Raw genomic sequence first — 25,630 nt, forward strand, 5'->3', positions numbered from 1 at the left:
TCCCTGTTCTACTATCAGTGGTGTGCTCTTTGAGGAGTCACACTTTCTGTGAGCTTCAATTTCCTCTTACAACAAAGAGGTGAACTATATTATCTTTCAGGTTCATCCAAATTCTAAAATTCTTTGTCCACTTGGGAAAAGTTTGTTGGTTTTGTTTTTTATTTAACAAAAATATTCTCTTTCCTCCCTTTCAACCAGACACATGATTTCTCTGCTCTTAATCCTCCTACTACTGACCAGATGATAAGGGAACCACATCACCAATGTCTTTTATACTCAACTAGCTTAGTGCAATGAATATAACACATGCTATTAGATGAGAATGTAACTTTGCCATAAAAATAGTGAATCTAAAGCAAAGCCTTATATTTATAAAGTGATGAAATTGCATCCACAATAAAAAATCCTATCAGCAAAGCTGTGTAACAATACAAGGCTTTGGAGAGAGTTATTTCTACCAATGAACTTAGTGAATCACTAAATAAACTGTCTTTTTGTCTCCCCCACAAAAACTTGGCCTTAGTATAAATGATATTATATTTTCTCTGGCCAGAAAAATAAGAAAAAATAAGATACTATTATGCTTGGAGAGAAAGCTGCTCCCCAAGGTCATGTTAGTGTAACCAGAGATCCTTTCGGAGGGAAGACAAGCATCTGGGCAGTCAACCTGATGGGCTGGCAAACTTTATCCGTTAGTAGATTTTCTCCCAGGGTCAGCTTTAAGAATCATCACTGCTGTATCCTAGACATTTTGGTTTCTATTTGAAATCAGAGCAACAATAAAAATTAAGGTACATTTGAATGATTTAGAATCTAGAGTCTAGGGTTGGATACAATGTATAACAAAGATGTCTAGGCAATTTAATTGCATCATTCAGATTGCAAAAGAAATGGTTAGCCACACAAGAAGATAATGTGCCTTTAAGCAACTTAAAAGTAATTCTTGATGAGCAAGGCAGAATGGAATAGCAACGGGGCCTCATATCACAGTCAAAACATCTGCTTCTGGTCCCACCTCTGCTATTACCCAGCCTTGGACAAGACATCCAGTTTCTTGATTTGAAAAGTGCACATACTAGGGTAAACTGAATAATTTCCAAAGTCGTCTTTTTACGGTGAACTTTAACATTCTATGATATATGGATGAAAACTACAATGACAAATAAATAGCAAGTTCGTTCTTGTAACTCCCTCTTGTGTATAAATATCTCGATGTCATTTAAGAAGGCATTGTGCTTGGGGGGGTTTAGTTTTCATAAGCTCAGCATCCTTACTGCTTCTTTTGGTGATAGCATCCCGCTTTTCTTTGAGAAATTCCCTGCCTCCATCCTACACAGTCCGATGAACAAGCTCCTCCCCGCCCCTTAGTGTTGGCCTCTACAACCTGACCTGGATTCTCCCAATCCGATTTTCTCTTCCAGAATTGAAAGTTGAGCTGAATGACACAGGGGCAGAAAATGGTTGTTCGTGAGTCATTCTGACGTCAGCTCTTTGAAGAGACTGCCCATAGCTCCCGTCTATTATTGCAGGTTTTGGGATGCCTTGCTATTGGTCTTCCAAAGACTAGCTTTTCCTTAGATTCTCTGAGTTACTCCTTATACTTTTGAAAAACTTCTTCATATGCTTTAGCTGGCCAGAGATGACATCTGTTGCTCACAACCAACAAACCCTAACGGATGGAGAACTCTTTTCTGGTCCCCATTGTCAGATTTTAATTTGTATTTTGAAGTAATAAAACCGAATTTGTTTAAAGTGCTCTAAAAATTTCGATATTTTTGTCTAATTAAGACACCCATTTTCTCTAATTAGAATAAGCAGAGCTACTGCACATTCTAAAGCATAATATTAATTTTCTGCTACCTTAGACTGTACTTGATTAACCTGGTAAAATACCATGGTTCTTTATGAAGCTGAGCCTGAACTAAGGGCAAATACATTCATGGATCAGACCCTGGGACTAGTTCTATCCTCCTCTATAATCATGGATGTCATCATCAGAATGCTGTGGAACTCTTGGCAGCATCCAATCTACCAAGTGTTCTCCGGAGAGAAAAGCAGAAGTTGATCACTCTGCCTCTCAGCCAAAAGCCCATCATAGCACTGCCAGGGGCACTTCTGCCAGGAAAGCAATGAGCTTTTTAGCAGGTGGTACAAAAGTACGCCAGGAGCTAAGACTTCAAATATTACCCTCAAAAGAGTAAAACGCCTTTAGTTAAGGCAGGATGGGGCAGAGGGAGGCGGCAGAGAAGGACCTGCATATTCCACTAATGAAGGCTAGAGTCTACCTCCGTAAGAGTGCTTTTGTGAAGCAACATTTAAAACGTGACACTGACAGCGCTACTCACTGATGGGTTAGGAGGCCATGAGAACCGCTTTCTTGAGAGAGCTGAGCAAGATATATAATGGGACTTATCCGGTCTCAGAACTGTTGCTGAGAAAAACTGTTGACATTACCCTCTCATTCTACATTCTAGAACAACACGGCATGTCTAATACAGTAGCCACATGCGGCTTTTTACACTTAAATTAATTAAACAAGATTACACACCATTTCCTCAGTCATAGCAGCCACCTTTCAAGTACTCAAAAGCCCCAGGGGATTCATGGCTACCATACTGGACCGTGCAGATACTGAGTATTTCTATCACTGCAGAAAGTTCTACAGGACAGTGTTACTCTACTGAGAAGTACCTGACCCTCTTGCAGAACTGGAGAAGGAGTAGTTCCTCCCAAATGGTGCCCTCGGCCCCCAGTGGTCCCATGGAAGGCGGAGAGACAAGAACGACCATACCAAGAACGGCCTTGGAGAGTTGTCAGAGCTCACCCTGAGGATGGAGGAGTTCCTCTATACTCAGGCCAAATGAGGGCCACTGCAAGAGACATGCTTGCAGAGTTTGGCATGCTCCTCTGGAGAACTGGGCTCTGAACACATTGTGGAATAGTCCCGAGGTGAGAAGGTGCCTGAGAGAACTCCAGTAGCCATCAGAGGAGAGGGGGATGCCCTGGAAGCAGCCTGCATTTCCAGAGGCAAAGGGCCAAGGTGACATTTTAGAAGGTGACTAGGTACAAACAAGCTATAAAGGTTAACCCGAGAGATCAGCCTGCAAGGACAAACTGATTCTAATAGCATCTGTGCAGAGAGGATCACCTGGGGCTGGGGGGACCCCAAGAGGTCATCCACAATGCATCCTGCCCATCCCTGTGTATATTTCCATGAAGAGGCTCTGAAGAGCCCTCACAATTAGGACCCCATGAGAACAATGGTCCACACTTGAGAATCTGCTACTTCAAGGACACCAACACTAAATTATAACTGTAACCTTTAGGGAAGGCCTTTTGTCACTCACCACCCAAACACAATCCTTCACTTCTTTCTTCCTTCAATCCTAAGGAATTGGCAAGGCAAGCAGGGTAGGGGGTAAAAAACTAAGGAAGGGGCAAACCACCCACATCTTGTCCACTGCAGGCTGCCAAGGCTAAAGCAACCCAGGAGTTATTGGTGGAAGGAAAGAATGCTCTACTCAAGGAGATGCTGAAGTTCTATTAAGACTGGTCCATCGGGATTGCATATGACAATGAATCTGCTCATCAATACCTAAAACTTACAGGAAAATGTAGCTGTCTATGGAATCACCCAGGGGAAGGGAAGGGAGAGCCAACAGAACAGGTTAGGAAGACATTGATATGAGAAAATCAAGCTGTTATGATTTCACCCTACAGACTCGGAAAGCTCCAGAAAGAATGCAGGAGAGGCTGGGCGTGGTGGCTCATGCCTGTAATCCCAGCACTTTGGGAGGCCAAGGCAGGTGGATCACGAGGTCAGGAGTTAGAGACCGGCATGACCAATATGGAGAAACCCTGTCTCTACTAAAAATACAAAATTAGCAGGTCATGGTGGCAGGTGCCTGTAATCCCAGCTACTTGGGAGGCTGAGACAGGAGAATCACTTGAACCCAGGAGGTGGAGGTTGCAGTGAGCCGAGATCACACCACTGCACTCCAGCCTGGGCAACAAGAGCGAAACTCTGTCTCAAAAAAAAGATTTATGTCCTAGGGCCAGGTGTGGTGGCTCACACCTATAATCCCAGCACTTTGGGAGGCCAAGGCAGGCAGATCACTTGAGATCAGGAGTTTGAGACCAGTCTGGCCAACATGGCGAAACCCTGCCTCTACTAAAAATACAAAAATTAGCCAGATGTGGTAGTGGCCACCTGCAGTTCCAGCTACTTGGGAGATGAGGCAGGAGAATCGCTTGAACCTGGGAGGTGGAGGCTGCAGTGAGCCGAGATTGGGCCATTGCACTCCAGCCTGAGCAACAGAGTAAAACTGTGTCTCAAAAAGTCTGATGTCCCTAAAAGTGTTTTGTTGTTGTTGTACCTGTGCTGGAATGCCTGTCTCTAGCTTTCCTTTATATGAGAAAAGATAACATTGTTTCAGATATTCTATACATGCAGCCAATCCCTTATCCTAACTCAGAAGCCAGAATCCATTGCGGAGAGTTGAACTTGGTTTTCAAAGTCCTATGTGCTTCATTCTAAATCATCTGTCCTTATTTCTGTAGGCTGAGGAAAGTTCCTGAAGGTGGTTGCCCAGTTGTAGAGTGTCCTTTCAGCTCCATGACTATATTCTTCAGATGGGACTTGAACTTAGGAATCCCTACATGTTGGGGAGAACAGGATGCTGTAACAGCAATGAACTTCCAGACACAGCTTTGATCATTGGTGAATCAGAGAGTTCTGTTGTTGTTGTTTTTCTAATCTCTTTGCTGTTTCTTTTGCTCTTTCTTCCCACCCTCATTCTCCTGCCAGGGAAAAAAAAAACATAGCCAGGCAAGAGCACATCCAATTCCCTTTCTTAATTAGAAGCGAAACATTTAAAAGCTGTGGCACAACTGCTTGACGAACATTTGCAAGTTATCTCCAAGCACAAAGCCAACACATTAAGGAAAGCAACAGGGTCATAGAACACGTCCCAGGCTAACAGAGAGGGTGATCCAGATTTGCAGAGGTGTCTGTCAACCACGGCTGGAGGCTCCTAATCCCCTCACTCAGAGCTGGTCATGCACAGAGAAAGGCTCATATGAAACACAACAAACCCAAGCTCTCCCAGGTGTCCGTAGCCCAGCTACGAAATCTGTCATCCCAAACTAACACTCCAGAGCACTTAATGGGTTTTAGGGGAGCGTTCAAATAAATAATCATTTCCTGGTATTGGAGATTGGATTTCATACACCATAGCCCAGGCCCAAGCTTAATGGGAGAGAGATAAAGAACAGAGTTCTTTTTCCAAAAGTAAAATTTACTTCTGATCCATTAATATGTATGCAAATAGTTTCTTCCAGACTCTGTGGTCTGGGAAATAAAATAGCCAGCTTGATCATAATTATTTTCTTACTTCCAGGGTGCTTGATATTAGATGCAGTAATGGTTTGCTATGGCAAATCCTAGGGCCTCTTTCCCTAGAAAGTGTTAAATAAGAACAGGTTGTGTCTCAGTCCATTTGTGTTGATATAAAGGAATACATACCCCAGGCTGAGTAACTTATAAAGAAAAGAGATTTATTTGGCCAATGGTTCTGAAGCCTGTACAAGAAGCATGGTGTCAACATGTGCTTCTGATGAGGGCCTCGGGAAGCTTCCACTCATGGTGGAAGGCAAAGGGGAACTGGCATGTGCAGAGGTCAATGGCAAGAGAGGAAGCATGAGAGACGGAAGGAAGGAAGGAAGAAAAGAAGGGAGGGAGGGAGGGAAGGAAAAGAAGGGGGAGGGGGAGGAGGAGGAGGAGGAGGTGGTGGTGTAAGGTCTTTTCAACAACCAATTCTTGCTGGAACTAAGAGTGAGAACTTGCTCCCAGGAGAATGGCACCAAGGCATTCATGAGGGATCCACCCTCATGACCCAAGCACCTCCCACCAGGCCCCATCTCCAACAATGAAACTTCAGTGAGATTTGGCAGAGCCAAAAAACCCACATCCAAACCACAGCAGGTACACCCATGGGAAGCGCTCAATGGATGATGGCTATGACAACATCACTAACTCCCAAGACGAACAAAGTATTTCATCTTTACACAGTTCTAATTGTGAAAAATGTATTCCTTAGACTGTGTTAGCATCTATTTCCCTTTACCTTCCACTCCTGGGTCCTATTTCCAGCCTGGGAGTAAACATAGGATAAACCCAAACTCTTGTCCCCATGGTGGTCTGTATTATTCCATTCTCACGCAGCTAATAAAGACATATCCAAGACTGGCTAATTTATTTAAAAAAGAGGTTTAATTGACTCACAGTTTCACACAGCTGGGGAGGCCTCAGGAAACTTACAATCATGGCAGAAGGTGAAGCAAACACGTCCTTCTTCATATGGTGACAGGAGAGAGACATGCCAAGCAAAGAGGGAAAAGCCCCTTATAAAACTATCAGATATCATGAGAACTCACACACTATTATGAGAACAGCAGCATGAGGGTAATCGCCCCCATGATTCAATTGTCTCCCACCAAGTCCTTCCCACGACACATGAGGATTATGGGAACTACAATTCAAGATGAGATTTGGGTGGGGATACAGCCAAACCATATCAGGGGTCCTTTCAAGACATAAAGCAGTTTATATCACCTGTGTCTTCTTTTGTCCAGCCTGAAAGGTCCAATCATCTTGACCCGAAAGGTCAAGCCACTGCTCCCGTGGCTTAGTTTCCAGTCCAGCCTGCTGAGGTTCTTGTCTGAAAGCCCCAGGCTGTGGCAGTCTCTTCTATCTTGTAGCTCCTTGGACACCTGGAGAGGTATCTGGAGGGTGCATTCCTCCAGGTGTGGACAAGCACCTGCAGATGAAGTAGCTTGTTCCGAGAGGAATGACTTCACAAGGATGGCTTAGACTCGCAGGCTACCTCGCACCTTGCAGGTAGGAGGTAAGCAGTGACTATTTCTTGAATCAATATATGACTGAATGAAAGATTAAGCCTATTGATTTAAAACCTATGTTCTTTTTCCCACTTCTGAATATACTTTTATCATTTCTTTGGGGGGCCTCATTTCTGGACTCTACTTAGGTCCCTGTGTCTACTCATTTCACCTTGTTTAAGCTAATAGGAATTCTAGTCTGTTGAGATCCTTTGATTTAGTGACTCAGTCATCCCAGAAATTACCTGTCCCTCCCAGGCTCATGTCAACTACAGATTGTCATCTCACCAGTATACTCATCTGAGCAATTAATTAGATTATATTTGGCTTATAATCATATTACAAGTTTTTTTAATGTCAGTTGTAGAATGATCCATCCTTTTTATTTGTACAGTGTGAACAGAAAGCTACTACATTCTACATGACTTTAGGACATTTACAAAAAGTTATCTTCACTTTGAGAAGAAACTGGATAAAAATGAATGTCTGCCCTATTATAAGGTTTTTTTTAAAAAAAAGCAGGTAAAATATCCTCTGCCTAGTCTTCCCTGGATGGAGGGGTGTCATAAATTGAACTGTCTCTCCCCCAAATTAATATGTGAACGTCCCAACTCGCAATAACTCAGAATGTGAACTTATTTGGAAATTGTGTGGTTTGCAGATATAATTAGTTAAGTTAGAATGAGATCATAATGGAGTAGGGTGGGCCCTTAATCCAATATTAAAAGTGTCCTCATAAAAAGGGGAAATTTGAGCACAGAATCGGACATACATAAAGAGAAGATGACGTCAAGAGACAGAGGGAGAAGAAGCCATCTGCAAACCAAGGAGACAGCCCTGGAACAGATCCTTCCCTCAGAGCCCTCAGAAGGAAGCAGCCCTGTGGCCACCTTGATTTCAGATGCCTGGCCTCCAGAACTGTGTGAGAATCAACTTCTGTTCTTCAGGCCACCCAGTTTGTGGCCATTTGTTCCATAAGCCCTAAGAAACTAATATGAAAGGAAAGGGGGCAGATGGCCAATCCCACCTCTCTGCTCAGCAGGGAACCATGCAAAGTCCTTCTCTACTTCAGGCAGGAACAAAAGTAACACTAAGAGCGAGTGAAGGTGAGCCACTCTCTGCAAAGCCCCTCTGGGATTTTGAACTTCTAGAAGCCCAAAAAACAGCCTATGACAATAACAATCACATGAACAATTCAACAGTACACTGAATGCATTTTAGGCTTTTCCAACAGCCTCTTGGTGGATCCCAAACCATTTTGGGAAGTAGGTGGCACAGAAGTTATTATTTCCATTTTGCAGAAGACAAATTATTCTCAAATCAGAAACTGGCTCAAGGAAATGAAGCTAGACAGTGGTCAACTCCAAAGGAGAGCCCAGAGACAATGACTCCCTCTCTGTGTTAAGAAGCTCACACCACCTGTGCTCCTCTGTGCTGTCCCCAAACTCAATCCTGTCAATTCATGCTAGGCCCTGTGTTCCCTCTGGGCCTCTACACATTCTTAAGGGGACAGGACTCTAGGGAAGGCAGGTGAGACATCAGCACAGGCACAAAGGCTTCCTTCCGATTGACAACGAGCACGCCAAAGCCAGAAAACAAGTGACTTCTGTGACTTCCGTCAGTTTACACTAAGAGGGAAGGTCACTGACTATGGTCTTGGGTGATGTGACCTATGGACAATTGTAATAAAAGTGGTACCATTGCCTGCTGGAAAAGGTAGGTATGGGAGAAACTGCCTGTGGGAAAATGATCTTTGACTATTTTCCCCTCTGGATGTTGAAACTGTCTTCCAAATAACTGAATTTTGTTGTGCCCCCAGGGTCACATGGAGCCCTGGTTTAAGTTCTTGCGATGTCCCATCCTCATGAATACATTTGTAGCTGTCTTAAGCAAAGTGAAACAAGAGCATCTTTAAGGCCTTCCCAGTCCCTCCCTAATTTTCCTTGTGCCTCTCCTCTCTCCTTTGCTGAGCCTTTGCAGCTCAGAGCACCCTCACAACCTCCCTTCAACAGGAGCACCCTCTCTCTCCTGCCACCGCGGATCTATTACATGGCACATCCTACACTGGGATTGCAGAGCTCAGCAAGACTCTGTCCCCAAAGAGCCCATGCTCTTGTCAGGAAAAAGTCATTATGGAACAGGGTTGGGGGCACAGTGTTGGGGGAGCCAGAGTGCTGGGGACACAAGGAAAGGCAAACGATGGACGCTATGCAGGCATGGGGTGAGATGAGAGATGTTTCCCGTAAAGATGCCCTGGAGCTGGGTGCTAACGGGCGGGCAGAAGCCGGCCAGGTGAAAAGAATGGGGCAGAAACTGGGGGACAGAGGAGGAAAGGGAGGAGAAACATGTGGATGGGGGTACAGCTGCCTCCCAGCAAGTCAGAGCACAGGGTCCCCCCAGCACTTCCTGGGTTACTAGGGTGATGGCAGGTGAATACAGAATAGCAGGGCCTTGGAATGTCTGCCGTATTATAAGGTTTTTTGTTTTTGTTTTTGTTTTTGTTTGCAGGTAAAATATCCTCTGCCTAGTCTTCCCAGGATGGAGGGTGTTGCAGATTGAATGGTCTCTCCTCCAGATTAATATGTAGATGTCCCAACTCGCAATAACTCAGAATGTGAGGTTTTTGGAAACTGGGTGGTTCGCAGGTATAATTAATTACGTTAGAATGAGATCATCATGCAGTAGGGTGGGCTTCTAGTCCATTATTACCAAGGTCCTTATAAAAAGGGGAAATCTGGGCCAGGCACAGTGGCTCAGGCCTGTAATCTCAGCACTTTGGGAGGCTGAGGAGGGTGGATCACCTGAGGTCGGAAATTGGAGACCTGCTTGGCCAACATGGTAAAACTCCGTCTCTATTAAAAATACAAAAAAAAATAGCTGGGCATGGTGATGCACACCTGTAGTCCCAGCTACTCAGGAGGCGGAGGCACAAGAACCGATTGAACTCAGGAGGCGGAGGTTGTGGTGAGCCAAGATTGTACCACTGCACTCCAGCCTGGGCAACAGAGTGAGACTCTGTCACGAAAAAAAAAAAAAAAAAAAAAAAAAAGTTGGGGGTGGGGAATTTGAACAGATTTTTTGTGGAAAAAAAAATCTGAAAAGACATACACACAGCACAGTGTTAGAGGTCAAAACAATATAATGTATAGGGATATCCACATTTTAGCTAAGTACAACTCAAAGGAATGAATTTAAAAGATCAAGTTCAACTCAAGAAAGACAGTCCTGGTGATGTTTTCATCTGAGAAACTCAGTATCTCCCTCAGACTGAGGCAAAAGGGACTCCGAGGCCAGGCCTCACAGACGGGCCCCTTCTCATGAGGCAAGGATCACAGGTCATGGGATGTGACCACACTCTGGATACCCAGCCCTCTGGAATTCTCCATCCAAAGTAGTGGAATCCCCACTCCACTGACAGGGCCTGCATAGTCCTCTTCCCTGGGTCCATTCCCCTGTGGGAGACCAAGCCATTGGTGTACACTGAGGGTCCAAACAGGTCCACCTTCTGGCAAGCAGGTCTCCTGATGTGCAAGCTGCAGCTGGAGACAGGAAGAGAATGGGACTGGCTGGGGCCATTTCTCCCTGGGCGGCCACATCCAACAAAACTCCAGGGAGGCTGAAAATTTGAACCTGGTTTCCCAGGTCCCTATGAAGATGTCTTTGTCAGAGTAGGAGACAATATGAAAAAGAGTACTCATATATGTACTACACATTATATGCACATATACTATATATATACTATATACATACTATACACACATACTATATATATATAGAGAGAGAGAATATATATAGAGAGAGATTATATATATAATATATATAGAGAGATATAATATATATATAGAGAGAGAGAGAGAAAGAATATATATATAGAGAGAGAGAGGGAGAGAGATCTATCTAAATGCAATCTGTTAATTTGACTCATGACTTAAAATTTTCTAGACATATGACATATAAGACTCCATTTGTACTTTTGCTCCCAGCTCTGCAAATATTAGGGGCGGGTCTGGAGGGCCTATGCCCTCAGCTTCACGTGGCCAGTGCACAACAACTGAGAGAAACAGGTGTCAATTTTCAGAGTAACTTGTTTCCTGGAAACTGTTGCTCACCACACTCTATGCCCCTGGTCAGGCGTTCTCACCAGGGAGAGAAGGGTGATTTGAGGTTGAAACAGGGAAAGAGGACAGGAGACAAAGGAAATAAGTGGCAAACACTTCCAACCCTAAACTTTTTTTCTTTCTTTCTTTTCTTTCTTTTTTTTTGCTCTGTCACCCAGGCTGGAGTGCAGTGGCACGATCATAGCTCACTGCAGCTTCAACCTCCTGGGCTCAAGCAATCCTCTCATCTCAGCCTCCCAAGTAGCTGGGACCACAGGCACACACCACCATACCCAGCTAATTTTTTTATTTTTTGTTGAGGCAAGGTCTTGCCCTGTTTTTGTAGAGGTGAGGTCAGTTGCCCTGGCTGGTCTCAAACTCCTGAGCTCAAGCAATCCTCTTACCTCAGCCTCCCAAAGTGCCGGGATTATAGGCATGAGCCACTGTGCCTGGTCCTAAACTTTCAAATGCCTGAAACACATATAAAGGAAAAGCTGGGACAAGGCAGGAAGAGGTGAGTCCAAAAGCGTTCAACTCAGTGCCTGCCCCAAGACAAAATGGAAGAAAAATCAACAAATACCGTGAGAACTCTCTCTGTGGATGAAAACTACTTTCATTGCAATCAGGGTTAAAGAGAAGTCCTTCTAGGTCACCCAACTTTGACCTTGAGGCATGAGTCTTCTTACTCCCATCTCTCTTACCCAGAGTGCCAGGAGCCAGATTTTAGGGTAAATATCCAAGTAGCAGGTTCTGAAGTAAACTGTCTCAGTAGCCTGTATCTTCCATCTCCTTCAGTGGGCTTTCCAGACATTGGTTCCGTGCATCAATCTCTCTAAACTCATCTGGCAACAGCAGCCAGGCACAAACCCTGCAGTCTTTAAAGTGGCACAAATTCACAGACTGAGAGATGTTCCCACGCTGCATATGTTCCTAAAACAACCCCGTCCAAGCCATCCATCCACTTGCCTCCCTCCAAGCCACAAAGTAGTTTCATGAGCTCCATTTCAGTTCTGAGATCACCAACACCTGATATCATTACTCAGAGTCACTGGCTGGAGAACAGACATCATTTCTTTCCCGTTAAACATTGCTCAATAATCCCAAATAGGGGGCACTGCAGAGCTGAAGCTTAGAGGTGAATGGTAAATTCTAATAAGAAAGTGCAGAAACATCCAGGATCATTAATGCTGCATTAGCTCCACTTCTTGCCACACTGGTGCTATGTTTTGTCTTTCTGGACTGGCCACAGAATTTTCTAGTGCTTTGAAAAATACAGTGCTGTTTCTTGCAGCTAAATGGAAACCTGTAGAGAGCAAACAAGCGTAGATCCTTGAACTTGGTAATGAATAGATGGGATTCTAGGTGAGAAAGAACGAAGAAGAGAAAAACACCAAGTCTCCATATTCAGAAAAATTTTTTCAATGCCAAAGTTGTATTCAATTTAAAATAAAAGCACAAAAAAACATAAAATTCCCTTTTATACATAAACCAGTGATATGGTTTGGATTTGGGTTCCCACCCAAATCTCATATCAAACTGTAATACCCAATGTTGGAGGAGGGGCCCGGTGGGAGGTGACTGGATCATAGGGTGGACTTCCCCCTTGCTGTTGTCATGATAGTGAATATGTTCTCATGAAATCTCATTGTTTAAAAGTGTGTAGCACCTTCCCCTTCACTCTCTCTCTCTCCTGCTCCACCATGTGAAGACATGCCTGCTTACCCTTTTGCCTTCTGCCATGACTGAAGGTTTCCTGAGGCCTCCCCAGCCATGCTACCTGTACAGCCTGCAGAACTGTGAGCCAATTAAATCTCTTTTCTTTATAATTACCCAGTCTCAGGTAGTTCTTTATAGCAATGCGAGAATGGACTAATATAGTAAATTGGTACCGGGAGTGGGGACATTACTATAAAGATACCTGAAAATGTGGACGTGACTTTGGAACTGGGTAAAAGGCAGAGGTTGGAACAGTTTGAAGGGCTTAAAGGAAGACAGGAAGATGAGGGAAAGTTGGGAACTTCCTAGAGACTTTTTAAATTTTTGTGACCAAAATGCTGATAGTGATACGGACAATGAAGTCCAGGCTGAAGTGGTCTTAGATGGAGGAACTTTTTGGGAACTGAAGTAAAGGTCACTTGCTATGCCTGAGCAAAGAGACTGCTGACATTGGGCCCCTGCTCTCGTGACCTGTGGATCTGTGAATTTGAGAGTGATAAATTAGGGTATCTAGCAGAAGAAATTTCTAAGCAGCAAGGCATTAAAGATGTGGCCTGGCTGCTTCCAACAGCATATGGTCATATGTGTGAGCAAAACGATGATCTGAAACTTGAACTTATATTTAAAAGGGAAGCAGAGCAAAAAGTTTAGAAACTTTGCAGCCTGACCATGCAGTAGAAAAGAGAAACCCATTTTCTAGGGAAAAGTTCAAGCCAGCTGCAGAAATATACATAAGTAAAGAGGGGCCGAATGTTAATAGCCAAGACAACAGGGAAAATGCCTCAAAGGCATTTCAGAGACCTTTGTGGAAGCCCCTTCCATCATAGGCCTGGAGGCCTAGGAGGGAAGAATGGTTTTGCAGACCAGACTCAGGGCCCTGTTGCCCTGCACAACATTGGGACACTGCTCCCTGCATCCCAGCCACTCCAGTTCCAGGTATGGCTAAAAGGGCCCCAGATACATCTCAGGCCACTGTTCCAGAGGGTGCAAGCCATAAACCTTGGTGGCTTCCACGTGGTGGTAAGCTTTTGGGTGTTCAGAAGGCAAGAGCTGAAGCTTGGGAGCCTCAACCTAGATTTCAGAGGATGTATGGAAATGCCTGGATATACAGGCAGAAGTGTGCTGCAGGGGTGGAGCCCTCATGGAGAACCTCAACTAGGGCAGTGCAGAGGAGAGTGTGGCATTTGAACCCCCATACAGAGTTCCCACTAGGGCACTGCCTAGTAGAGCTGTGAGAAGAGGTCACTGTTCTTCCAATCCCAGAATGGTAGATCCACTGACAAGTTCCACCATGTGCCTGGAAAAGCCATAGGCACTCAACATGAGCCTGGAAAAGCAGCCAAGAGGCTGTACCGCGCAGAGCCAAAGGGGCGGAGATGTCCAAGGCCCTGGGATTCCACCCCTTGCATCAGTGTGGACTGGATGTGAGACATGGAGTTAGAGATTATTTTGGAGCTTTAAGATTTAATGACTGCCCTGCTGGGTTTTGGATTTGCCCCTTTGTTTTGGCTGATTTCTGCCTTTTGGAATGGGGAGTATTTAGCCAATGCCTGTACCATCACTGTATCTTAGAAGTAACTGACTGGGTTTGATTTTACAGGCTCATAGGTGGAAGTCACTTGCCTTGTCTCAGATGAGAATTTGTACTGTGGACTTTTGAGTTAAAGCTGGAATGAGTTAAGACTTTGGGGACTGTTGGGAAGGCATAATTGTATTTTAAAATGTGAGAAGGACATGAGATTTGGGAGGGGCCAGGGATGGAATGATATGGTTTGGATTTGTGTCCCCACCCAAATCCCATATCAAACTGTAATCCCCAGTGTTGGAGGAAAGGCCTGGTGAGAGGTGACTGGATCACGAGGGTGGACTTCCCCCTTGCTGTTATCATGATAGTGAATATGTTCTCATGAGACCTGGTTGTTTAAAAGTGTGTAGCACCTCCCCCTTCACTCTCTTCCTCTTTCTCTGGCCATGTAAGATGTGCCTCCTTCCTCTTCACCTTCCACCATGATTTTAAGTTTTCTGAGGCTTCCTCAGCCATGATTCCTGTACAGCCTGTGGAACTGTGAGCCAATTAAACCTCTTTTCCTTATAAATTACCCGGTCTCAGGTAGTTCTTTACAGCAATGTGAGAATGGACTAATACAGCTGGATTTCCTTTAGGGAAGGGCTTATTAAAACCTGATTTTTTCTAAGCTAATTGGAACTATACTTTCTTTCAGAACAAGGGAGAGACCCTTTAGAAAAGGGTTAAAATCAGGAGTCTGTAGATCCAGGCTGTTTATAAACTTCCTGACATTTTATATAATATATCATAATTATGCATATCACAGGAAGTTAGAGAAAGATTCCTTAAGCTTGATTGGATATACATGGCGATCGTAACCCCCAAAGTAAGAACTACTATTGTGGACACTTAACTTACAACAAGGTATGATAAACACGTGAAGAATGCTCACTGCTATTAGTCATCAGGGAAATGCAAATCAAAACCACAAAGAACTACCACTTACAACCACTAGGATGGCTATAATAAAAAAAAGCAGATAATAACAAGTGTTGGTGAAGATGTAGAGAAACGGAACCCTCCTATATTGCTGATAGGAATGAAAAATGGTGCATCACTTTGGAAAACAGTCTTACATTTTCCTCAAAAGGGCAAATATGGAGTTACCAAATGACCCAGCAATTCCACTACTAAGTTTAGACCCAAGAGAAATGAAAATGCCGTTATACAAAAACTTGTACATGAAAGTACAGAGCAGCACTATTCATAATAGTCCAACAGTAGATATAACCCAAATGCTTATTAACTGATGAATGGATGAACAAAATGTGGTATAGACATATAATGGAATATTATTTGACAACAAAAGGAAATGAAATACTGATACATGGATGAATTTTAAAAACACTGTGCTAATTAAAAGCAGTCAGATACAACAGGCCACATACTATATGATTTCATTTATATGAAATGTTCAGAATAGCCAAATTCATAGAGACAAAAGTAGATGAGTGGTTGCCTAGGGTTTGTGGGGGAGGAGCTGGAGGGAAATGGAGGATAATTGCTAATGGGTAGGGGTTTCTTCTGGGGTAATGAAAATGTTCTAAAATTTATAGTGGTGGTTGCACAATTTTGTGAATATTCTAAAAATCATTAAACTGTACACTTCAAATGGGTGAATTGTAGGCTGTGTGAGTTACATTTTGATAAAGCTGTTATTAAAAGAAAAAAGAAAAGAATATGTGAGCCTATTCTCCATCTAAGTGGCCCACTCCTCTACCCCAGGTGGGGAGACACCAGGAAGGCTTTGGGAAGGGACCAACAGGGGTGCATGGAAAACATGAGTTTGATATGAAGGAAAAATGCTATTGCCTTCAGCCATCTCATTCTCACCCTTGGATACAGATCCCTCAACCAGGGAAGGAATAACTGTCTTTAAATGCACTGAAGAGGAGGTTCCCATGGAGACTGGGGAAGTTAGCATAAGACTATCTTCCATGATGATGAGGAAAGACTGAATACACTGTAGCACAGGCACTCGCAGACAGACCCCTGGCCAGGTTACTGTGGGACAGGTGCCCAAGTCCATAGAAGAGAGAACTGTAATAAAGCAAGAGGGAAATACAGTTTCTTTCCCAATCAGGCAGATCCACGGCAATGCTGCTTTGAGGCTTCACGTGGGCAAGGAAGACACACTGGGCAGTGATACATGGATTTCTGCTAGCTGCTAAAGTGGTCCCATCCACTCAGGTCTCTGATAGTGGTCCTCTGGCCACAACTGTGCCAAAATAAAATAATACATGCTATGGTAGGAAATTAATGACCTCCTAAAATGTCTATGTCCTAATCTCGAGAATCTGAATATGCCGTGTGGCATGGCAGGGAAAACTGGGGCTGCAGAAGGCACTAAGGTGGCTAACCAGCTGACCCTGAGAGGAGTTATCCTGGATTATCTGGAGGATCCCACTGTAATCATAAGGGTCCTTAAAATGAAAAGGAAGGTAGGAGAGTTAGCAATAGAGTAATGCAATGCAAGAAAGATTCAACTGGGCATTGCAGGGGAAAAGGGGACCATGAGCCAGGAAAGGCAGGCAGCCATGGGAAGTCGGAAAAGGCGAAGAAATTGATTCTCTCCTAGAGCTTCCAGAAAGCATGGCCACAGTAGGAGTGAAATGGAGGCACAGAGAGGGGTATTTGTCTCAAGCACACAGCTATTAAGTGGAGGGGCCACTGGGATTTGAACTTAGATCAATAGACCCCAGAGCCTGTGTGCTTAACTAAGGACCCTAAAAGACTATTCCAGCCTGGTGAGCTGAGTTCCTGTTTGAGAGGAGTCTCCGCAGCCTGAGTCTGGGGGGTTTTCGCACCTGTGGGCCATGGGTGCCCCCGGGGAGGTGGACACGCTGCAAGGTGGAGGTTGTGTGCCACGTTTCCAGGACACCATATGGCCCCACCCTGGTCCAGGTGCTGCTGGAGCAGGACCTGTGCTGTCACTGCTCTCTGACACCGCTCCACTGTCTCCTCCAAAGGCTCCCACCCTGGTGGGCTCTGCACCCACAGATTTGATGAAACTCACAGGAGTCAAGCATCGGAGAGTAGTGACTGGGGGTTGTGTGTGGGGAGATTAAAGACATTTATATTTTTCTTTCTCACGTAAGATGAAGACTGGCGTGAAAGCACATTTCTATTTTCAAAAGTTAGGTTTGGTAACACAGTGCAGAGCAGATGGATGAGGAGAAAACGAAGCAACAAAAAAAATGGGCCTCAGCCAGGTGCGGCGGCTCACACCTGTAATCCCAGCACTTTGAGAGGCCGAGGTGGGAGGATCACTTGAGCACAAGAGTTTGACACCAGCCTGGGCAACATGGCAAAACCCTGTCTCCACACAACAAATGAATGAAATGGTTTGCTGGGCACACCTGTGGTCCCAGCTACTCAGGAAGCTGAGGCAGCAGGAGGATCACTTGGGCCCAGGAGGTGGAGGTTGCAGTGAGCCATGATTGCCTCACTGCAGTCCAGCTGGGAGACAGAGCGAGCCTCTGTCTCAAAAAAAAAAAAAGGCCCCCTCACAAAGCAGTGGGGCTGGAAAAGGGAGATGGGAACTAGAGGTGGGGGAGATGGGAGCCGGTGATCAGTGGGATTTGGTGACCAACTAGCTATGGAGAATGAGGGACAGGGAAGAGCTAAGACAACTATGGGCCTTCCAGCTCAAGGGCAGCTGGGCAGAAGTTCAGGACTTTAACTTAGAGGCAGAGGGAAAGGGAGGATGCTGAGAAGAAAACAAACATGCCGAATTAGGGCAGACATGCTCAAAGGGCCAACCAAAGTACATGTCTGGGATTCCGGACAGATCCGGGTCCCTCCTCTCTTCCCCCTTTCCATCTGTTAAAATCCCTTGTCTCTTCTACTGTATAAACCACCCTGGTGTCCCCATCCTCATGGGCCCCCATGGCACTCACACCCCTACCCAGTTAATGTCCCCTCCTGTCTGCTCCTGATGCAGTTTTCTCCACGTCACTAGTGTAGCCACCTTGTTCCCCTCAAAGGTGTGTTTTGAGCCCCCCACTCAGCTGAAATGCCCCCGGACTCAGTAAAGGAACAGAACTGAGTGTGTTCAGGAAGTTGACCTAGGGGAGGAGGGGATCGGTGCAGAGTCAGGGAATGGGGAAGAGAAACAGGTCAGAGGGCTTCAGAAAACCTGTGATGCTACTCATGATGAATATGCAGGAAGGAAGGAGAGAGGAGAGGAGACAGACTCACAGAAGGTATGAGGCCATGAGGAAATGCAGACATGCACACATGCATACACATGTGATTCCTCAAGCTCCCAGCAGGCTTCCAGCATCAGGAGCTAAAATTGCTACCACTGATAAATGAAAAATTTAAACTCCCCACTGGGAAGGAGCATTTCAAGTACCATTCCTGGATATCGCCCCCTCCAATTCTTCTGTCCACTGATACGCTAGCATAGAGCAGATGTGATCATTTGAAGCTTCAACAAAGAATCCCTTGAAGATGACTGTGTATTTTTTTTTTTCCTAAATCAGGAACACCAGAATTAAGAGGAAGGTAGCCATGCAAAACTCAACACTGTTTGTCAACGTGGGTACTAACTCGGCTGTGTCTTGGATAACACATCAACTTGGTAAAAACACACACAGAAAAGAAAACACTTTCTTCCAACTGTCAGAGCAAAAATCCTTTACTCTTCTGTCCAGCAACCTGAACAAAAACAAGGGAATTTGTGGCTTGGTTTCCTTTACAACCTTATCTTCACTCCAGGCACCATCCCCTGTCTCTAAGCAACAGGGCACACTTTGGAACTACCAGGAGGCAAAACCCAGTGCTTATCCTGAGTCTTTTAGGACTAAACAAATCAGGGCAGAGCAATTGGTCCCTCGCAAGGTAGAGCCCAAGGAGCCCATGGGAAGGTACGTGGCCCCAAATATCTTCATCAAACCCCATGCATACCCTGGCACTCCTCTGAGTTCCTTAGTGCCTGAAATTCCACCTCTCCACACTCAACCCATTGGCTTATTCCCCTGTCGGCTCCATGGGGGCACTGACTCAGTCTATCAGGTGACTTCTCCCACATCCCCACTCCCAACAGGAAAGCCCAACATGGCTCTAGTGTGAAGAGGAGGCTGACCCTTGAGAACAGGGCACAGAGAAGGAAATCTAGAACGTCACTGAGACTTAGTGATTTTTGTAGAAAAATGAGGAGCCTGGAGGAAAGTGTTTGATTAAAAGAGAATGAGGGAAAATGCCTGTATTGCTATGTTGACATTTAAGAAGACTGTTTGCACCTGCAAACAGGATTCAGAGATTTTTTTTTTTCTCCCATCAGCATGCCCCAACCTCTTCCCTAACATCTCTGAGACAGAAAGAATTTCTGAGAATATAGAGAAGAGAAATAAATGAACAAACTCTCTGGGAATGACAGCTCTGAACTTTAATAAGAGGGAGAGAAGAGAGCTGATGAGTACAAGGCTCTGCAGCAGAAAGGAAATGGAATTTGGAAGTGGAAGGAGCTGACAAACAGTGCTCATAACTGCTGCATCCAATAGTCAGGATAACTGCTATTTATCTGGTACCTTTATTTCTCAAGCAGGCTCGTGTCCATGACCTTATTTTATCCTCAAATCACCTGTGAAGCAGAGGGTGGAGCTGGAATTATTTATCTCCTGGTGAAGCCAGTGATATCACAACTTGGAGAAGTCATTCTTACAATCACCTACTTGGTGATTTTCAAAATAAGACAGGAATTATAGATTCTGACTCCCAATGCTTACTTACCATTGATTCTGGAAAATGTGGATGGTCTAAATTGCTATCGTAAAAATGCAATTTCCCAACTTTATTTCATCCATGAGCTTTGAGTTCATTTCTAATTAAATTTTTTCAGTAGCCCATCAACAAAACAGATCAGTTTGAGATTCTTCTCCTTGTTCATTCTCTCTTAAAGAGAATTATTAAGAAGAAGCATCCGAATTCATTTTTGAGCCCTCATTTGATTTCCATTTACCATCTCTGTGTTGCTGAAGCTGTGGAAGCAACAGTCTCCATGGCTGAGAGTAGAGCTTAAGTTACGCAGATGGGCTGCAAAGATTAATTGCCATTCTTAAAGACGCCGATAGAACTATGAAAAATAAGTAGTAATAGTAGTAGTAGGAAGAAGAGGAGGAGAAGGAGGTTGGAGAATAGGGGAAGTTACCATGCTCTAGTAAACTGCAAGATGTTGGCATATGACAAACCTTGGTACAAGATATAAGACAAAATGAAATGGGATCGAGCGTATAATCCCTGTGGCTACTAACTACTGCATTAGTAGACAAAGCAACAATTAGGATGAGCCGTGAATGAGGATGTGGTGCTGTCCCTTAGGGCAGGTAATACCCAAAACATGCAGCCATACACTTGTCTATTCTCCAAAGAGCTGAACCACTGAAGAAATGGTGGTCTGAAATGGCTTGGAAGTCTAGGTGTTATTGGGAGCTTGGATTCGTCACGAGCCCCCTAGGGGCTTCACACACATACTGATTTTGCAGACTTCTACCCCCTCGAATATTCTGTGGAGAACAACCTATTTTTTTCTATCCTCTCCCAAACCGCCATGCTGAGCTCATCGCCTCTGAATTTATCTCCGTGTCAAGGAGAAGATGACAGCCAAAAGTAATACATTTTGTTTAAGTCAAGTCATGACACATCTATGCCAAATGGAGAACTCAGCTGGCAATTACCACACTGAAAAGTGGGACAAACAACAGAGCAAGGAATAGACCTAGAAGTACATTTAGGTGTCATTTCACCCACTGTATTTAACCAGAGAAAGAAAAAGAAAATGGAATTTTGATTTCAGAATCCAACCTTGGTTAATGGTTATTTGCAGAAAACTAGAAACATTTTAATTATTTTCAACTCCACACCATAACAGCTATCAAGGGAATGGAGACAAAACAAACAGGGACTTATTAAATACATAATTAATGTGCACTAAAATTCGCATATATGAATATGAGTAAGCTGGGACCATTATAAGGTATGCAACTGAAACGTGATCAATTAATTAAACCTGTTATTTGCTGGGGCTTTGGGAAAAATGGGGCCACCTCAACAGAGGAGGGAGACTCATCAGCAGATGAGATGGCTCCTTGGTGGTCCATCCTGCTTGCAAAGTAGCCAGGTATTTCAAGAAACAAAAATCTTAGAAAAGCTACAATTTTCTTTACAGTGAAGCAAAAATAAATCAAGCCCTTGTCAATCAAGACCTTAATCAAGACCATTGTCAAGCTACAAATAGATTACTTTATTCCCTCTTGCCTGGTCTCCAGTCTCCATTATAATCAAATAAAAATACTTTTCAGGCACTGCATCTGGTTTAGAAATATAGTCTGTGGCCAGGAAACAAAATGAAGAAAACTGGCAACACAGGAATGAAATCACTTGTAGCGATTATTAATAACCGTCCTCTTTTGAAATGGATTAAAGTGCAGTACAACAATAGGTTATAACATGGAAGAAGAATTCAGATATTCAGATATTCAGACCTTAAGAATGCACTTTATCCTTATCACAAAGCAGCAAATGAAGTGCTGTGCTTCCTAGCAGCCAAAGAATAAAAAAAGGTCTACACGATCAATGTCTGTCATTCCCACAGGGAGGCAAAGCTTTTCCAGGCAGTGTATTCTAAAAGTTTTATCTAGAGGCATTGGGGGATGAACAGGACAATGGCTCTAGCAGAAAGCTGACAATAAAGACTCCAGTGATTTTCATCTGACGGTTAACATCCTTTCTTTCAAACCTGAGTTAAGTCACAGGAGGCTGTTCTGTGAGAGGGGCTAAGCTGACATAGACCAATGATGTTGGCTTGGGCTGGGGTGAGGAGAGGTTGTCTACTGGCAGATAACACATAACACCAGAGGACAAGATGATGAGCTACTATTTCAGCCCTTGTGCAGCTCCTTCCATCCCCCGACATCAGACATCATGATGCTCTCGAGCCTGCTACACAAGTCCCGGCACAACTCGCAACCCACTTCAGTCCCCAACTCAGGAAATAAGAAAAAAACTCAGAACCAACAGGAGCAAGAGAATGGTATCACAGGATGACTCTGCAGCATCCTGAATTTATCAGAAACAATGTGAAAAGGCTGACATTTAAATTATTTTATTCACAATATATGTAGGACATACCCCATGACTGAGAACAGCTCTCTTACACTGTCTTCCAGAAATGGAACTCCTCCCAAGGCAAGCTTGGGTAGGCACTACACAACAAACAATTTGTGAAGTTACTTTTTTTTGCTAAGGGTCTAGTGCAGTGTCATCCAGTAGAACTTCCTGTGATCATGGAAGCGTTCTACATCTTGTGTTGTCCAACACAGTAGCCACTAGATACAAGTATTTGATGTGTGGCTAAGTCATGCTAAGGAGCTAAAGTTTGCATTTTATTCCAGTTTAACTCATGTAAATTTAGAGAACTACAGGTGGCCAGGGACTATGGAATTGGACACAGCAAGTCTAAAAGATCTTACTAGGCTGGGCACGGTGGCTCACGCCTATAATCCCAGCACTTTGGGAAGCTGAGGCGGGTGGATCACCTGAGGTCATGAGTTTGAGACCAGCCTGGCCAATATGGTGAAACCCCATCTCTACCTAAAATACAAAAATTACCTGCGCATGGTGACACACGCCTGTAATTCCAGCTATTGAGGAAGCTAAGGCAGGAGAATAGGTTGAACCTGGGAGGCGGAGGTTGCAGTGAGCTGAGATTGCGCCACTGCACTCCAGCCTGGGCCACAGAGTGAGACTCCAACTCCATAAACAAAACAATAAAATAAAATAAAATAAAATAAAATAAAAGATTGTATTAAACCATGTTCTAGCCAATACCTGGCCATGGGAGAAAGACAACTGGAAGTTATTGGAAACTTTGCTTCCTAATACAAAAATGTATTCAAATTCTCTTGCTTTAGTTTTCTCTTTAATTTACATAATAGGTAGGAGGATGGCATAATACAATCGACGTGGAAATGAGTCTTGATTTTAACCCCAATCCTAGCGCAGCATTAGACTTTCACTCTGGCTGTAGCTTCCTTGATCTGAAGGCCAGAAAGTAGGGCTCAGGCATCTGCGCGTCTGTCGCCTGTGCAGGAGATGACAGAATGTCTAAAAGTTTCCCTGCCACTTTTATTTGGGATCACGGAGGATTCCCAGAGTTGTGATTTTGCCCTCTGGGCGTTGGTGCCAACTCTCATGCTCAAATCCAACAGCGTCATTTAGAAGTGTGCTACCGGCTTCTGCCTCAGTGCACACCAGGAACATGATATGTTGAGCAAAATGTCATCCCATGTAGGAGCCTGTGCTAATTATAATGTCAGGCTTCCCACTGAGATACTGATAATTAAAGGAGAATATTACAATGTTTTCAAACTCCTGCAGTAAATGAGAAGCATCTTCAAATGTAACCTGTTGGAGATGAAAATTAAAGCCATCTGTGACGTCCCCATTTAAGACCTCCACAACCAGAACCAGACAATTTTTGAGGATCAAAGCAAGTTGAAGGCAAAAGTAGGTGGGTGGTAGAGTTTGGGGGAAGAGGAGGAGGTGGAGGGGAATTAATGTTTTCCAGGTCCTGCTGTGTTCTAGGAACCACAATACTCTTTATTTTTTTATTGAGACAGGTCTTGCTCTGTCACCCAGGCTGGAGTGCAGTGGCACAAGCACGGCTCACTGCAGCCTCTACCTCCTGGGCTCAAGTGATTCTCCTGCCTCAGCCTCCTGAGTAGTTGGGACTATAGGCATGTGCCACCACGCCCAGCTAATTTTTGTATTTTTTGTAGAGACGGGGTTCTGCCACGTTGCCCAGGCTGGTCTTGAACTCCTGAGTTCAAGTGATCTGCATGCCTCGGCCTCCCAACGATACACTCTGAATAGCAGATAACACAGTGGGTGGCCCTGCTTGTTGCTACTGCTGTCGTCTCAATAATGAACTGCCAAGTAGCTATTATCTGCATTTTACAGCTGGGAAAGCTAAGACTCTCATGATCTCACCTAAGGTTACCTACCTAGTAAAGCATTTGGTGGCTCCAGGATCCAAGTCTTGGCCTTTCTGCTCTAAAGGTTGTGCTTGTCCTATGCCTGTGGGCGACCACCTGCTTGGGTCCTGGAGCATCAGTGGTGGTGATAGGTGTGCAGGGGCCTCACAGGCATTCATTTTACACATCTCCTAGAGCACCCACAGTGGTGGGCCCTGTGTACGGTGAGGCTTCCTGCCCAGGTTTCCCTGCCCAAGTCTCCTTGCTGAACTGAGCCCGATGCATCTGGAGTGAGAACTACGCCAACGTGGTGCTGCAGACATTAACATTTAATGTGGCAAGCTTAAGAAAAGCAAGAAGCATTTCCTGAACTTCTCTGTAACTCTCTCTGAAAAACAGTGTGATCCACGGGAAGAAAAGAAACACAGAGCTCACCAGTGAGACACAACACACGGAGACAGAGTGTGAGTTAAGCTGTACCCATCATTGCTTGTGTGGCCTCGGGCTTTTTTTTTTTTGAGACAGGGTCTCGCTCTGTTACCCAGGCTGGAGTGCAGCGGCACGATCTCAGTTTTCTGCAGCCTCCACATCCCAGGCTCAAGCGATTCTCCTGCCTCAGCCTCCCGAGTAGCTGTGACTGCAATCACGCGCCACCATACCCCACTAATTTTTGTATTTTTTGTAGAGATGGGGTTTCCCCACGTTGCCCAGGCTGGTCTTGAACTCCCAGGTTCAAGCGATTCACCTGCTTCGGCCTCCTAAAGTGCTGAAATTACAGGTGTGAGCCACCGTGCCTGGTCTTGGGCTTGATCTTTAAACTTTCTAGGTCTCAGTTTCTAAAATGTAAAACAGGGACGCAAATATCTAAATCATGTATGTGGTGCACTTTATACAGCGTCTGGAACCTTGAAAGGCCCCCGTAAGTGGCAGCCTTTAGCATTATTGGTATATTTTATTATGGTCAATGATGCATGCCTTTGTGTGGTGTTCTGCTTCCTCATTAACTGAGCCTGAGTCGCCGGCTACTGAGAAGGCCCCTCCAGTTTCTGGAAGCAGAGCAATGTGAAGCAGAAGCTGTTGCATCACGGTTTCTCCTGGAAAGGTCTGTACCTAACAGTAGAATTTTCTGCTCAGTCTTTACCCCAGGAAAATGAAAAATCAACATGTTCTTTCTCATGGCTAGTAGCTCCTTTCTTGCAAGTCGGGGCCCTGGTCTCGCACTGCTGCCCCTCCAAAGCCACCCTTTGCAGCACGGGGAGACTGCACAAGGGCAAGCTGAAGGTCCAGGCTCACATCACCAATGTCAGCAGCAGCAGCCTCCCTGGCCACCTGCAGCTGTCCGCAGACTTTTCAGCATTCCAACAGATCCTCCATAT

The 25,630-nt window shown here is 44.6% G+C and overlaps 1 protein-coding gene and 1 non-coding gene across 36 annotated transcripts in view; both read right to left on the reverse strand.

The window, feature by feature from the left end:
* SLC39A11 (solute carrier family 39 member 11) overlaps positions 1-25,630 on the reverse strand; it is a 446,740-nt gene that overhangs the window by 165,638 nt on the left and 255,472 nt on the right. For 5 of the 35 annotated variants that reach the window (XM_017024340.3, XM_006721758.5, XM_047435576.1 and 2 more), the window contains one exon: positions 10,019-12,297. The exons of 27 other annotated variants lie outside the window; for them this stretch is intronic. In XM_017024340.3, coding sequence (XP_016879829.1) covers positions 12,176-12,297 — 122 coding nt within the window. In that variant the 3' untranslated portion in view covers positions 10,019-12,175. Of the gene's footprint in view, positions 1-826; positions 4,801-6,517; positions 6,819-10,018; positions 12,298-25,630 lie in introns of those variants that run through there. 3 more of the 35 variants (XM_011524498.4, XM_011524496.3, XM_047435572.1) reach the window with 3 other exon arrangements.
* On the reverse strand, positions 7,250-7,386 carry LOC124904115 (small Cajal body-specific RNA 24). Its single transcript, XR_007065993.1, has one exon.

The sequence above is a fragment of the Homo sapiens genome, chromosome 17 (assembly GCF_000001405.40).
Source record: "Homo sapiens chromosome 17, GRCh38.p14 Primary Assembly".
Taxonomy (NCBI): domain Eukaryota; kingdom Metazoa; phylum Chordata; class Mammalia; order Primates; family Hominidae; genus Homo; species Homo sapiens.